Source organism: Homo sapiens, chromosome X, assembly GCF_000001405.40.
Source record: "Homo sapiens chromosome X, GRCh38.p14 Primary Assembly".
NCBI classification, from domain to species: domain Eukaryota; kingdom Metazoa; phylum Chordata; class Mammalia; order Primates; family Hominidae; genus Homo; species Homo sapiens.
The window spans coordinates 149,400,438-149,416,994 of record NC_000023.11 but is presented as its reverse complement, the minus strand read 5'-3'; the positions used below and the strand labels follow the sequence as shown (position 1 = coordinate 149,416,994).

At 37.7% G+C, this 16,557-nt stretch overlaps 1 protein-coding gene across 1 annotated transcript; it reads left to right on the top strand.

Annotated features, from left to right (window-relative positions):
• Positions 1 to 1,488: 1,488 nt before the first annotated feature.
• Positions 1,489 to 2,118, top strand: LOC122319696 (uncharacterized). Its single transcript, NM_001395872.1, has 2 exons — positions 1,489 to 1,661; positions 1,849 to 2,118. Exons 1-2 carry the CDS (start codon positions 1,518 to 1,520, stop codon positions 1,987 to 1,989), a joined length of 285 nt encoding a protein of 94 aa, NP_001382801.1. The 5' UTR covers positions 1,489 to 1,517; the 3' UTR covers positions 1,990 to 2,118.
• The last annotated feature ends 14,439 nt before the right edge of the window (positions 2,119 to 16,557 follow it).

Below are 16,557 nucleotides of genomic sequence, written 5' to 3'. Positions count from 1 at the left end.
TGTACAAGTTTTTGTGAGAATATAATTTTCATTTTTCTTGGTACATACCTAGGAGTGGGAATTCAGGATCATATGATAATTCTATGTTTAGCTTTTTTTGGGTACCTGGCTGACTATATTTTAAAACTTCTGTACCACTTTATGTTCCCACAAACAAGATATGAGGGCTAATGTTTTTCACAACTTTACCAAATCTTATTATCTGCCGTTTTTTATTATTACCATCCTAGTGCATGTAAAGCAGTATCTCATTGTGGTTTTGATTTGCATTTTCATGATGGCTACTGATGCTGACTATATCATTATCTGCTTATTGGCCATTTGAGATATGTTTTTCCTACCCCTTGTCCACTTTTTAAGTTGGGTAACATTATTATTATTGAGTTGTAAGAGTTCTTTATATTATATATTTTACATGAATTTCACTTACTGATGTATGATCTGCAAAATTTTTTTCCCATTCTGTGCATTGTCTATCACTTTCTTAATTTTAACTGTTGAATCACAAGGTTTTGATTTTGATGATGTCAACTTATCAAATTTTTCTTTTGTTACTTGTGCCTTTGGTGTTATACTATAAGACACTATTGCTGAATGAAGGGTCATGAAGAATTTTGCCTATGTTTTCTTCAAATAATTTTATAGTTTTAGGTCTTATATTAAGCTCTTTGATCCAGTTTAAATTAATTTGTGTGTATGATGTGATTTAGGGTCCAAATTCACTATTTTGCATGTGAATATCCAGTTGCCACAATATCATTTGTTGAAATAACTATTCTTTCTCCACTGACTTGTCTTTGAACCCTTGTTAGAAATCAATTTTTCATAGATATGTGGGATTATTTCTGGCCTCTTACTTCTATTCTCTTAGTCTATATGTCTGTCCTTATGCCAGTATCACAATATTTTCATGACTGATAAGAGCTGCTATGTCAATCTGAAACTAGAAAACTTAAGAGGTCTATACAGACATTGGAAAAAGAAGGTGAGATGGGAAGTTTTGTGTAGTAGCCAAGAATGAAATTGTCTTCAAGGTGCATAAGATAAATCTTTTGAAGGGGAATGAGGTGATTTATATCTACACAGAAACTTAAATATAATCACATTTTCTTGGAGAGATTTTAGGTAAGATATCCAAAATATTAGGTCATGATGAAGGATGGGAGAGAACAAAATAAAAATGGAATGGGAGTGGCTATGGAGAAAGACTTGGAGGCATCACTTTTTTCTTGCCATCTGTACAAGTGATGAGAAGGGATTACAGGTCATTTTGGGAAGGCTTTTTAGTGGGATGTTAAGGATATGCCCCTGTCTCCAACCAGAGCACATGGATCTCCCCAGCATCCCCACCATTAGGCAGAAGCCAAGAGTGCTTTGTGATGTCTACAGCTCCTTTAACCCCTACTGGCCAGGGGAAGTGCCTAGATGAACAAATAAAGCTAAAGGGTGTGGCTCCTCATTGTCCTGATGATGGGCATTTTATATGCTGGTAGAGAAGACTACTGTGGGGTTTCAACATGGCTAAAGTTACCAGAAAGTTGAAGGGATCTAGCAAAGTTATGGAGCAATCAAACCCAAGCACAGAACAATTAATCTCAAGCACAAAAGGGAAGAACAAGATGAAGAAATCCTGTCAACCCAGGGCCAGAAAAGGGGGCAAGGTGAGACCACCTCACTCAAGCTCTTTTCTCTTGATCCACCCTCCCCTATGTCTCCTACGCTTTACCTGCCTGGCACAAACCCCCTCATTAGCCCATGTCCCTTTTTACAAAGCTCCTCTTCTCATTCAGTGCCTATCTCCTTCCTCGAACACAAGGTCCTTTTGTGATCACTCTATTGCCCTTTCAGGTGAAGAAGATACAGAGGGTGATAAAACGACTGCTTCATGGGAGTTCAAGAAAAAAATCGTCTAGTACTAGTACAGAAATTCCACAAAAGGTAAAAAGAGTGAAAAGAGCCAAGAATCGGCCACTAGCAAAGATTGAGTAGGAGCCAAAGCACTCAGGCCAGGCCCAAGATGCTGTAAAAAAAAATGACACTCCTACAAGATACAACAGCATAATGAAACAGCGATGGTGGTAATTAAAACAAAATCAACATGTTATGAAAAACCCTTTATTTCAGAACATGTGTATGTATTTCTGTAAGTTATCTGATTGTGGGAAAAGAGAGAAGGAAGGGAAGAGGCAAGTTTGTGAGACAGAAGCAAAGTGAGGTCCAGGAGAATTGGAGGGGGTTGACCTGCCAGTAGGTTTATATACTGACAGGTAGACATATTTGCAGGCCTACCATGAGCCAAACATTGGGGATAAGGACTAGGTGAGGATTGAGCACTGAAGAAAAATTTCCATTCTTAACATTATAACCCATAGGCAAGAAGAGAAATGGGCTTGGTGTTTCTATTTGTGCATATGTGCATGGGGATAACATTAGGGTTTAGGTTGCCAGAACACAAATGGGGAGAAGTGTAATGTGTGTTGGGTGACAGTATCACTTCCTATAAAAGGTGGACAAAGAAACCATCTCCAGGCCACATATTTCATAGTGGTGTTTGCTTTCCTTCAGACTATGTAACAAGCAATTAAATGATCTAAGAAAGGACCCAAAACTAACCCTAATAAAATTTGACAAAACTTCCAAACACTGAAATAATGGTGTTTAAATGCCACAGCCCCAATATGGAATATGCCATATTTTTTGCTAAGAAAATTTGGGATGCAGCAGTATCTTACTATGGTTAAGAAAATATCTGTCCAATCACTAGCCAACTGTTAAACTAAAAGAATAGATACTTTTGTGGTGGCTACATACAAGAAAAACTACTGACTATAGAAATAGTTCAGAAAAGTCACTAAACAAGCAAACAAACATTAAGCAACACCAAAAACCGCCAAGGAAATAGGGATAATTTGATTTCGAGAATTGCCACATTATATCATTTGTGTTAGGCCATTCTTGAAATGCTATAAAAATAACTGAGACTGGGTAATTTATAAAGAAGAGGGGCTTTAGTTGGCTCACAGTTCTGCAAGCTTCACAGAAAGCATGGTGCTGGCATCTGCTTGGCTTCTAGGAAGGCCTCAGGAATCTTACAATCATGGCGGAAGGTGAAGTGGGGGGCAAGGAAGACATATGGTGAAAGCAGGAGCGAGAGAGAGAGAGTAGGGGGAGGAACAGATGCCACACACTTTTTTTGTTTTTTTTTGAGACGGAATCTCGCTCTGTCACCCAGGGTGGAATGCAGTGGTGCGATCTTGGCTCACTGCAACCTCCATCTCCTGGGTTTAAGCAATTCTCCTACCTCAGCCTCCTGAGTAGGTAGCTAGGATTACAGGCACCCACCACCATGCCCAGCTAATTTTTGCATTTTTAGTAGAGATGGGGTTTCACCACATTGGCCAGGCTGGTCTCGAACTCCTGACCTCAGGTGATCCTCTTGCCTCGGCCTCCCAAAGTGCTGGGATTACAGGCATGAGCCACCGTGCAGGCCTCCACACACTTTTAATGTCACATGTGAGGCCACAGACCAGATCTTGTGTGAACTCAGAATGAGAGCTCATTTATCAGCAAAGGGATAGCCCAAGCCATTCATGAGGGATCTGCTTCCGTGATCCAAACACCTCCCACCAGGCACCACCTCCAACATTGGGGATTATATTTCAACTTGAGATTTGGGTGGGTAGAATATCTAGACTATATCATTTCACCCCAGCTCGTCCTAAATCTCATGTCATTCTCACATTTTAAAGTATACTTAGCTATTGAGAAATAGTCCCCCCAATGTCTTAACTAATTCCAGCATTAACTCAAAAATCCAAAGTCCAAAATGTCATCTGAGAGAAGGCAAGTCCCTTCCACCTATGAGCTTGTAAAATCAAAAACAAGCTCTTTACTTCCAAGATACAATGGCAGTACAAGCATCGGGTAAGCATTCCTGTTCCAAAATGAAGAAATAAGCCAAAAGAAAAGCTGCAGGCCCTATGCAAGTTCAAAACTCAGCAGGGCAGTCATTAAATCTTAATGTTCCAAAATAATTGTCTTTGACTCCATGTTCCACATATAGGGCACACTAGTGCAAAGAGTGGGCTCCCAAGGACTTGGGCAGCTCTGCCCCATGGCTTTGTAGGGTTCAGTCCCTGAGGCAGCTTTCAAGGCCTGGAGTTGACTGACTATAGCTTTTCCATGCTGAGGGTACAAGCTCCCAGAAGACTTACAATTCTTGGGTCTAAAGAGCAGTTGGCACCCTTCCCACAGCTTCACAAGGCAGGGCCCCATTGAGGACTCTGTGTGGATGTTTCAACCTCATATTTTCCCTTTACACTCCCCTAGTAGAGGTTCTCTCTGGGGTTCCACTCCTGCAGCAGACTTCTGCATGGGCACCCAGGATTACTCATACATTTCCTGAAATCTAGGCAGAGGTTCCCAAGCTTCATTCACTCTAGCCCTCTGTGCACCGTCAGGATTAACACCATGTGGAAACCACAAAGGCCTGTGGCTTGCATTCTCCAAAGTGGCAGCCTGAGCTGTATCTGGGTCCCTTTGAGCTATGGCTGGAGCTAGAGCAGCCTGGATGCAAGTAGCAGTGTCCAAGGCTGTGCAGTGTAGCAGGAACCTGGGTCTGGCCCATGAAACTATTCAGTCCTCCGAGGCTTCAGAGCCTGTGATAAGAGGGGCTGCCTGAAAGATTTCTGAATGCCTTAGAGGCTTTTTCCCCATTGTCTTAGTTATTAACACTTGGCTCCTTTTTAGTTATGCAAATTTCTCTATCAAGTGGTTGCTCCTCAGCCTGCTTCAATTCCTCTCCTGAAAAAGCTTTTTCTTTAGCACATGACTAGGCTGCAAATTTTTCAAACTTTTATGCTCTGCTTCCCTGTTAAATATAAGTTCCAATTTTAAGTCTTTTCTTTGCTCCCACATTTGAGCATAGGTTGTTAGAAGCACCCAGGCCACATCTTGAACACTTTGCCACTTAGAAATTTCTTCCACTAGATCCTGTAGGTCATTGCTTTCAAGTTTAAACTTTCATAGTCCACAGGCCATGGGAAAAATCCAGCCAAGCTCTTTACTAAAGCATAACATGCTTGACCTTTGCTCCAGTTCCCAATAAATTTCTCATTTCCTCCTAAGACATCATAAGCCTGTCCTTCACTGTCTGTATCTCTATCAGCATTTTAGTCATAACTATTTAATCAGTCTTTAATAAGTCTCAAACTTTCCATCATCTTCCTGTCTGCTTCTGAGCCCTCCAAACTCTTCAAACCTCTGTTTTTTTATCCAGTTCCAAAGTAGTGTCCACATTTTCAGGTATCTTTGTAGCAATGCCCTACTCCTCATTACCAACTTTTTGTATGTGTTAGGCTGTTCTTACATTGCTATAAAGAAATAACTGAGACTGGATAATTTACAAAGGAAGGAGGCTTAATTGAGTCACAGCCCATCAAGCTTTACACAAAGCATGGTGCTGGCATCAGCTCAGCTTCTAGGAGGGCCTCAAGAAGCTTACAATCCTGGTAGACAATGAAGGGGGAGCAGGCATCATACATGGTGAAAGCAAGAGTGAAAGACAGAGAGTTGAGGAGGAGGTGCCACAAGCTCTTAAGTGACTAGATTTTGTGTGAACTCAGAGAGAGAGCTCACTTATCACCAAGGGGATAGCCCAAACCATTAATTAAGGATTCGCCCCTTTGATCCAAACAACTCCCACAAGACTCAATCTCTAACACTGGGGATTAAATTTCAACATGAGATTTGAGCAGAGCAAATATCTAAACTATATTATTACTTGAACTCTTGTGTTTTCAACAAAAAGTTATGTGACATAAAAGAAATAAGAATGTATGACCCATATACAAGTATAAAAGCAATCAATGGAAATAATCCTTGAAGAAGCCCTAAAATTGGACTTACTAGGCAAAAGCTTTAGATCTCCTATTTACATATATTCATAAAGCTAAACTTCGCCATGTCTAAATCACTAAAGAGCAGTATAAGAACAATGTCACAACAAATAGAGACCATCAGTAAAGAAATATAAGTTAAAAAGAGCCAAATAAAAATTCTGGGGTGTGAAATAATTGAATTGAAATAATTGAAATGAAAAATTCATAAGGAAGGCTCAACAGCACATATGAGTGGGCAGAAGAATAAGTAACCTGAAATTAGTTCAATTGAGATTTTCTAGTCTGAGGAACAGAAAGAAAAAAGATGAAGAAAAATGAACAAGGCTTCAGTGACTTGTGCAATAATAGCAAGTGTGCCAAAATATGCATAATGGAAGTCCCAGAAGAGGAGTGAAAGAAAGATGTTAATATAGTATTTGAAGATACAATGAAAAAACATCCCAAATTTGATGAAATTAATCTGCCCATCCAAGAAGCTCAATGAACTCCAAATATGAGAAACACAAATAGATCTTCACCAGTACACAGCATAATAAAATTATCCAAAGACAAAGAAAGAACCTTGAAAACAGCAGGAGAGAAGTGACTCATCACTTACAAGTGAGCTTTAATGAGATCAACAGCTGATTTCTTATTAGAGACCATGGAGGCAGAAAACTGTGATAACATTTTCAAAATGCTGAGAAAAAATAAAAACTACTGTCAACCAAGAATTCTGTACACAGAAAAACTGTCATTAAAAGACAAGAAAGTAAGATACTCCCAGGTAAACAAAAAGTTGAGAGAATTTGTAACTGGCAGACCTTCAGACAGAAATAAAAGAAAACTAGATTGCAACCTAGATCCATATAAAGAAATTTAAAAAACTGTTAAAGATAACTATGTAGGTGATCTAAACCAGTATAAGTGCATTTTTCAGTATAATACCATTTCTATTCTATTTGACTTAAGACTACTGCATGATGTGATAATTATAAATCTAGTTGAGAGTCACACAAATATAAAGATATAATTTTTGACTATATTAGTATAAGAAGGAAAAGTTCCACAAAGGAGTAAGGTCTTTGTACACTATTGAAATTAAGTTGGAATTAATCTGCACTAGAATTTTATAAATTGATATGTTAAGGGTAATCCTCAGGAAAAACACTAAGAAAATAACTAAAAAATACACAGTAAAAGAAATGACAGCAAATAAAAATTGTACACTATGAAATATATATTTAACACAATACAAAGCAGTAATGGAGGAATTGAGAAACAAAAATAAATTACATATAGAAAATAAATAGCAAAATAGCAGACATAAATTTTGCCTTATCAATAATTACATTAAATGTAAACAGATTAAACATTGCAATTAAAAGGCAGAGATTTGCAGAATTTAGTTCAAAACTTTATCCAGCTATAAGCTGTCTATAAGAGACACTTTAGGTTCAAAAACATTAATTCATTGAAAGTAAAAGAATGAAAAAGATACTCCTAGACATGGATAAGCTGATCCTAAAATTCACATGGAAATGCAAGGAACCAAGAATAATTTAAACCATTTTGGAAGAGAAGGAAGTTGAAGGATACACCCTTCTTTATTTTAAGACTTACTATAAATCTCCAGTAATCAACAGATATGGTACTGTCTTAAAGATAGACATATAGATCAATGGAACTGAATTGAGAAGTCTATGGTAAAAATTATATCTATGATCTATCAACTAGTTTTTTTCAGTGAATGGTGCTGAGACAACTGGACATCCACATGCAAAGAAGGATTTGAATTCCTCCCTCACACCATATAAAAAAATTAACTCAAAATATATTAAAACCTAAATATAAGCACTAACATTATATAACTCTTAGAAGAAAACAAAGGTATACAACTTTGTGACCTTGAACTATGTAATAGTTTCCTGTATATGACACCAAAAGCACAAGCAACTAAAAAAAGTAAATTGGAATTCATCATGAGTAAAATCTTTGGCATATCATAATTAAAGTCTTTGAAGAAAATTTTTGCAAATTGTATATCTGATAATAATATAGCACCCACAATATATTTGTTTTCATATTTACTCTTATCTTTATTGCTTTCCTTCTGCTAAATTTGAGTTTAGTTTTTTCCTTCCCTTTCTAGCTCCTTGAGGCATAATGTTAGGCTCTGTATTTGTAATCTTTCTTTTTATAATGTAGGCATTTATTGATATGAACTTTCCTCCTAGAACTGCTTTTGCTGCACATCATAGGATTGATATGTTGTTTTCATTATCATTTGTCTCAATATATTTCTAAATTTCCTTTTTAATTTCTTCTTTGATTCATTGGTTGTTCAGGAGCATACTGTTTACTTTATATATATTTGTCAATTTTCCAAAATTTCTTGTTATTGATTTGTAGTTTCATACTGTTATGATTGGAAACAATACTTGATGAATTTAACAGGTAAACAATTGAAAAACAATTAAAAGGCAAGGCAATTAAAAATGGGCAAAGGATTTCAATAGACATGTCTCCAAAAAGAATACACAGGGGCCAGTAAGTACATGAAAGAATGCTCAACATAATTAGCCATCAGGGAAACACAAATCAAAACCACAATTAGGTACAACTTTGCAACTCCTGGGATGGTTGTAATTTTTGAAAATAGAGGAAAATAAGTTGTGTTAGTCTGTTTGGTCTGCTATGACAAAATACTTTTGATTGGGTAACTTATAAACAAGAAAAATTTATTGCTCACAGTTTTGGAGGCTAGGAAGTCCAAGAATAAGGCTCTGTCAGATTTTGTGTCTGTTGAGGGCTCACTCTCTGGTTCATAGTTCATGACTTCCCACTGTATCCTCACATAGTGGAAGGGGGCTAGCTAGTTCCCCAGAGTTATTATTGTAAAGGCACTAATCTCATTCATAAAGGCAGAGCCCTTATCAGCTAAACACCTGCCAAAGGCCCCAACTTTTAATACTATCACATTGATGATTAGGCTTCAACATAAAAATTCTGGGGAGACATAAACATTCAGTCCATCTGCACAAGTGTTGGTGAGGATATAGAGCAATTGGAGTCCTCATGCATTTTTGTTGAGAATTTAAATTGACACAGCCACTGTGAAAACCAGTTTGGTAGTTCCTCAAAATGTTCAACACAAAGTGGCCATATGATAGCAAATCTGGTTTTCACTCAAGATAATTTAAAACATGGCCACACAAAGACTTCTACACAAATGTCCACAAAGCATTATTTGTAACAGTTAAAAGATAGAAACATTCCAAATGTTCATCAACTGAAGAATGGATAAACAAAATGTGGTATACATACAATGGAATATTATTCAGCCATAAAAGCAACAATGTACTGATACAAGCTACAGTGTTGATGATCCTTGAAAGCATTATGGTAAGTGCAAGAAGCCAGTCAAAAAAGATCGCATATGATTCCATTTATATTTGATGTCCATCAAATCAAGACTACAGAGGCAGAAAGTAGATTAGTTGTTGATTAGAATGGGAGAGGGAGAGGAAAGAGAGTAGAAGGATGATAACTAAAGAGTTCAGGGTTTTTTTTTGAGGTAATTAAAATGTTCTTAACTGGAGTGAGGATTGCACATATCTGTGAACATATTACAAACCATGAAGTTGTCCATTTTAAATAAATAAATTGGATGATATGTGAGTTATATCTCAATAAAGCTGTCATAAAATCAAAAGAAAAACATGTCTAGACAAAATACATATTGATTTAGGCTTCTGCTTTGGCTAGGATCTAGCAGAGCATTGAGACTGTTAGTCCCACTGGACTGTTTTCAATGGAGGAAAGAAGATATTTACAATAAAAAACTGAGGTGCTATTATTTAAAGAAGGTGGGGCGAATGTATAAACTCCTCCAGTAAATTATAATTTTACTTACAATAAAATCCTAATATGTTACCATAGACTACTAGGTCCTAGATGGCCCATTTTCACCTGCCTCTCCAATTTCATCCTCTTCTCTTTCTTCTCCTTCTTCTTTTTGCATCTCCTTGGACACTTTAAGGTCATTTATGCCTCAGGGCATTTTTATCTGCTGTTCCCTCTACCTGCAATGCTTTTCCCCCAGGTATTTACACAGATTTCTTCTTCTCATCATTCAATTCTCAGATCACAGGTTATCTTTTGAGAGAAGCCTTCTCTGACTACCTCATCACAGTTGCTGGCCATTTTACCACTTTGTCTTCATAGGCATTATTATTATTTGATAACATTTTTATTATACTTATGTGTTTATTTTTGTTTTTCTCACTCTCATCCAATAGAAGGTAAACCCTATGAGAGCAGGAGCCATGATTATTCTATTCAGCAAGATAGTCTCAACCTCTGGCATATGGATTAGCACACAGTATAACTCAGGAAGTGTTTGTTAAATGAACTAGTGGTTTAAAAGCCCCAAACTTATCAAAAATAACCTCCTTTCTGTTATTAAAAAGAAATGTTATTACATTTCTTTTTAAACAGAGCAGTGGAAAGGAAAATAGGCATTGAAAAAAATCCTGAAGGAAGTTAAATCAGTGCTGTGAATGGGACCTAGGGAGCCACTCTCTGGGAGGCTGTGGCCCAACACATTTCTTCCCTATTTATTTTCACACTCTCAAATTCAATCCTTTCTGTCTCTCTCTTTGTAATGTAGACACATACAATAGGTAGTTAGCTGGGGCCTCATTTGCTGTATGTTTCTTTTTTCATGAAAGCAACTGTCCACATCACTGTTCATAGGTTAACTCAATCCCTTCTCTTTCTTCAAAATATTTCTAATTTGTGCCTGTTTATACTGTGCTACCTGGTGTTAGCATGCATAAAATAACTTGGTTGCCACCCCTCTCCTAGAGACGTCTTAAAGCTTCTGAAACAGAGTTCTAGTGTCCATGGCTATCTTTGAAATGGTTACGGGGTCATGGCTCAGAGGCTGCAGCCAACCTGAGAAAGGCAACACAAGAAGGTGTGTGACAGATGACAGATTGCTGCTGCTGAGTTGGTCCTGAGCCCTGGCCTAGCCCTTGGTGCTGAATGAATGAGTATCAGATGCCCACCTGCACCAAGGGAATTACAACACATAAGCACACTCATTCATGGGTGGTCCAGTGCTGAATGCCTTTCTGCATTGCACTACTTCTCTATCAGCAGCCTGGTCACGCATGAATAAACAGTTACTGGCTCCAGTCAAACCTGGCAGCTCATTGGAAAGGTGGAAATGTGCTGGAACTCTATTCTGGGAGAGACTTTAGGTAATCTATACCAGTAGGGGAACAGCTACTAAGCAGTTGTCTTGGTGTTCACTAACCATTTAAATGGGAATTACCTTTGGATAAACCAGTGAGGAGATCCTTGAGCCAGGAAGTCCTTGACTCAGAATAGGTTTCTTTTTGTCCCAGCCACAGGATCTTGGAGACCTGTAGACCTATTAAACCATAGGTCTATGGATGAAATTTTTGGGATGCAGGTTGCAACCTGACTGGAGAAAATAAGACAGGAAAGTGGAGGTAACTAGTTGTCTCATTTTATTTTCTGTAACTATATCAGAATACCCAAGAATGGGTAATTTATAAAGAAAAGAAATTTATTTGTTACAGTTCTGCAGGCTGAACAGTCCAAGAGCATGGCACTAGCATCTTGTGAGGGCCTTCTTGCTGTGTCAAAACATGGTGTAGGATATCACATGGTGAGAGGGCAAGAGCATGCACGTCATACCAGGTCTCTCTTGCTCTTCTTATAAAGCTACCATGATGATTTTATGTAATCCTAAGTAACTCCCAAATGTCTCACCTCCAATAAACATGTGAATTAGGGTATTAAGTTTTCAAACACATAAAAATTGGAGGACATATTCAAATCATAGTACTAGCAGTCTAGGTTTGCAAAGCCTACGAATGAGTTATTCCCTCTGAGATTGTTTCCCCTCCTTGCCTCACTGGAAATGGTTTAATTGGTTATCCTGTTGGCACAAACTGCCCAGACTTCCCATTTCTATTTTCAGGATTGGATAGGAGCCCTTGGAAGAGCAACGCCTCCTGTGGGCAAGGCCCTGGAACCACTAGCCATTTGCTCTACCTTATCTTTCTCCCCTGAGGATTTGAAGGTTTAGCGCCACATTTAGACACATGCAAAAATAACCCCTATATGGTCTCTGTGCTTTAAAGAACCTTACTTTGAAAAGGAGACAGTGGACCTGAGGAGATGTAACCATACAGAATCCTTGGTTCACCTTCTAGATCTGAGTGGGCACCTGGGAAGCTGGAATTCCCTGCCTAAATGTTCACAAGCCCATTCCTATTTCCAGAGAGTTCACAGACTCCATTCCTGGTTCTGTATTCCTGGGGACACACACACACACACACACACACACACACACACACATTTGTATGATTACCTGTATGCTTAAGGGGTTTCTAGGAGGCAGCTGTTTGTTATTTGGGGAGAGTGTGGATGAAACTTAGAAGCATGGGCTATAGGGGCCCATATAAACATGTGTAAGGCCCCTCACAATGAAGGGTGAACCCAGAGTAGGAAGAGAAGAGGGACAGGTGGGCCAGTTGCTGGGGTCTGGTCCTCTTCATGTCACCACATTTTGGTACAGAACTCTAAGGAATCCAAGGATTTTAAATTTGAATGTGGCTTTCCAGGTTGTTGTACACATATATTTGTTTAGGTAGAAATATAGAACAGTTTGTTAGCTTGATTTACAAATTTTAAATATTTAGTACAAATTTTAAATATTTAGATATGGTGTCTGAGCCTGCATTTATAATCTTATCTGGAGCCCTGTGGATTAGTCAAGTTTCTCCCAAGAGGTTTAGTTTAAGAAATTAGCTCATGCACTTGTGAGGACTGGCATGTTTGAAATCTGCAGGGTAGGCTTGTAGGTTGGTAAAGAAGAGTTGATATTGGAGCTTGAATCTTAAGGCAATCTGAAGGCAAATTCTTTCTTCCACAGAGGACCTCAGTCTTTTTTTCTAAAGGCCTTCAACTTACTGGATGAAGCTCACCCACATTATGAAGAGTACTCTGCTTTACTCAAAGTCTATTGATATAAATATTAAATCTAAAAGATCCATTCAGAGGAATATATAGACTGATGTTTTACCCAACAACTTGGCACCATAGCCTAGCCAAGTTGACACAAAATCAACTGTCACATCCTGCAAATTCTAGGAGCTGACCTAAGCAGATTCACCTTTCACTGCCACCATATGCTCCTCTGCCTGAGGGTCTTGTCAGATCAGACCAGTTTTCTAAATTCTTCCCAAGCCTCATGTCTGGTGAAAGTGTAAGTGGCCTCTTCTTTAAAAATGATAGTCACTGTGAAAAACCTCAGGAAAACAGGCTGGGATTTTTTTTTTTTAAGGTGGTACTCTCTATACCAGTTTTACCTTTCATTTCCTTCAAGAAGAGGTCCTCATGGCTACTCCAGGCCCTCAGGATTGTCTCTGTCTACACAGAATATTTCAGTCTTCCAGAGTCAAGTGGGATTCCCAGTGTGTCAGGAGAAAGTCAGAACTGGAGACCACTCAGTTCATAAACAGGGAAGGTGTGCATGAAGAGCAACATGATACAGTAGAATGAACAATGGATGTCAGTTCAGAAGATGTCAGATTGATTCTTGGCTCTGCCACTTATCATGACTGTCCTTGAGAAGCCATTTTAAACTCTTAGCCTCAATTTTCTTATGTGTAAAAATAGTCATAATACTACCCACTATAGAGGTTTGTTGTGATGAATTTTGGAGAAAGTGTACATGACAGCAAATAGAGGTCACTCATAGTCATCAGTTAAGTCTGAAGCTCTAAGAACAACTAGATGGAAAACTAACAATGTGATTTAAGACTTGAACAACACTATAAACCAACTAGATCTTTTAGACATCTATAGAACACACCATCTAAAATCAGGAGAATATACATTTTTCTCAACTACACATGGTATGTTCTCCAGGAGAGGCGTATGTTAGTCTATAAAACAAACCCCAATAATTTTAAGATGATTTAAATCATACAAAGTATCTGACAACAGCGGAATTAAATCAGAAATCATTAACAGAAAACAATTTGGAAATCCCTAAATATGCAGATATTAAACAACACACTCCTAAACAACTCACGATTCAAAGAAGAAATCACAAGAACTAGAAAACAAATTAAGATGAGTGAAAAGAAGGCATAACATATAAAAATGTGTGAGAAGCAGCTATAAAGCAGTGCTTAGAAGGAAATTTATAGCTTTAAAAGCCTATATTAAAAACCAAGAAAGATCTCAAATCAATAACCTACCTTTCATCTTAAAAAAAAAAAACTAAAAAAAAAAAATCCATAAACATTCCAAAACCAGCAAGAGGAAATAATAAAGACTAGAGTGGAAAGTAATGAGAATATAGACAAACAGAAAAAAATCAACAAAATTAATAGTTGATTCTCTGAAAAGATCAACAATACTGAAAAATCTTTAGACAGGCTGACAAATAAAAAGAGAAAAGAAAGACTAAAATCAGGAACGAAAAAGGGAACATCAATATTGATCTTACGAAAATAAGGACTGGCTGCAGTGGCTCACACCTGTAATCTCAGCATTTTGGGAGGCTGACGTGGGAGGACTGCTTGAGCCCAGGAATTCAAGAGCAGCCTAGGCAATGTAGGGAGACCCCCATCTCTACAGAAAAATTTTGAAAATTAGCCAGGCATGGAGGCACACACCTGTGGTCCTAGCTACTTGGGAGGCTGAAGTGTGGTGACTGTTTGAGCCCATGAAGTAGAGGCTGTAGTGAGCTGTGCTTTTACCACCGCACTCCAGCCTGGGTGACAGAGTACGACTCTGTCTCAAAAATAAATAAATAAATAAAAATCAGCTACTCGGGAGGCTGAGGCAGGAGAATCGCTTGAACCCGGGAGGCAGAGGTTGCAGTGAGCCAAGATCACGCCACTGCACAGCAGCCTGGGCAACGGAGCTAGACTCTGTCTCAAAAACAAAACAAAGCAAAACAAACCAACAAAACAAAACAAAACAAAAACAAGGTTACTAATTGTTTTGAATAATTTTGCTAATAAATTAGATAAGTTAAATAAAATAGAAAAGTTCCGAGAAAGACATACTATAAAAACTGACTGAATAGAAAATAAAAAATGTGAATAAGCCTATAATAAGTGAAGAGATCAAATTAGCATTTTTAAAAAATCCCACACAAAGGCCCAGGCCCAGAAGGCTTCACTAGTGAATTTAACCTAACATTTAAAGATGAGTTAATAAAAATTCTTCCAAAAAAAAAAAAAAGATAGAAGCTGAGGGAAGACTTCCCAACACATTCTAAAAGTCCAGTTTTATTCTTATACCAAAGCCACACAATGAAATATTAAGGAAAAAAAACTACAGACCAACAGCCCTTATAAACATAAATGCAAAATTCTCAACATATTACAAAATTAATCCAGTAACATATAGAAAGAATTATAACACAATGAATGAGTGGGATTTATTCCAGAAATGCAAGGTTGGTTAAACATATGAGAATCAATTGAAGTAATACACCGTATCAATAGAATGAAGGACAAAACTCACATTATCATCTTTTTTTTATTTTTTATATCCACAGGTTTTTGAGGGAACAGGTGGTGTTTGGTTACATGAATAAGTTCTTTAGTGGTGATTTCTGAGATTTTGGTGCACCCATCACCTGAGCAGTTTACACTGTACCCGATTTGTAGTCTTTTATCCTTCACTCCATTCCCACTCTTTCCCCCAAGTCCCCAAAGTCCATTGTATCATTCTTATGCCTTTGCATCCTCATAGCTTAGCTCCCACTTATAAGTGAGAAATACAGTGTTTGGTTTTCTATTCCTGAGTTACTTCCCTCAGAATAATGATCTCCAATTCCATCCAGGTCGCTGTAAATGCCATTATTTCATTCCTTTTTATGGCTGAGTAGTATTCCATGGTGTATAGTATATATATATAATGTATATATCACAATTTATTTATCCACTCACTCATTGATTGATGGGCATTTGGGCTTGGTTCATTTTTTTGCAATTGCAAATTTTACTGCTATAAACATGCATGTGCAAGTATCTTTTTTCGTATAATAACTTCTTTTCCTCTGGGTAGATACCCAGTAGTGGCATTGCTGGATCAAATGGTTGTTCTACTTTTAGTTCTTTAAGGAATCTCCACACTGTTTTTCCTGGTGGTTGTACTAGTTTAGATTCCCACAAGCAGTGTAAAAGTGTTCCCTTTCCACTACATCCATGCCAACATCTATTTTTTTTTTTTATTTTTTGATTATGGCCATTCTTACAGGAGTAAGGTGATATCACATTGTGGTTTTGATTTGCATTTCCCTGATCATTAGCGATGTTGAACATTTTTTCATATGTTTGTTGACCATTTGTGTATCTTCTTTTGAGAATTGTGTATTCATGTCCTTAGCCCACTTTTTGAATGGAATTATTTGTTTATTTCTTGCTAATTTGTTTGAGTTCCTTGTAGATTCTGGATATTATTCCTTTGCTGGATGTACAGATTGTGAAGATTTTCTCCCACTGTGTGAGTTGGTGAGTTGTCTGTTTACTCTGCTGTTTTTTTTTTTTTTTTTGGCTATGCAGAAGCTTTTGAGTTTAATTAAGTCCCATCTATTTATCTTTGTTTTTGTTGC

What these genes read in the sequence shown, in the direction of transcription:
- LOC122319696 (NM_001395872.1), top strand. Translation starts at nt 1,518, where the DNA reads ATGGCTAAAGTTACCAGAAAGTTGAAGGGATCTAGCAAAGTTATGGAG. An exon ending in GGGCCAGAAAAGGGGGCAAG is followed by an intron (nt 1,662 to 1,848) that starts GTGAGACCACCT and finishes TTGCCCTTTCAG; the next exon opens with GTGAAGAAGATACAGAGGGT.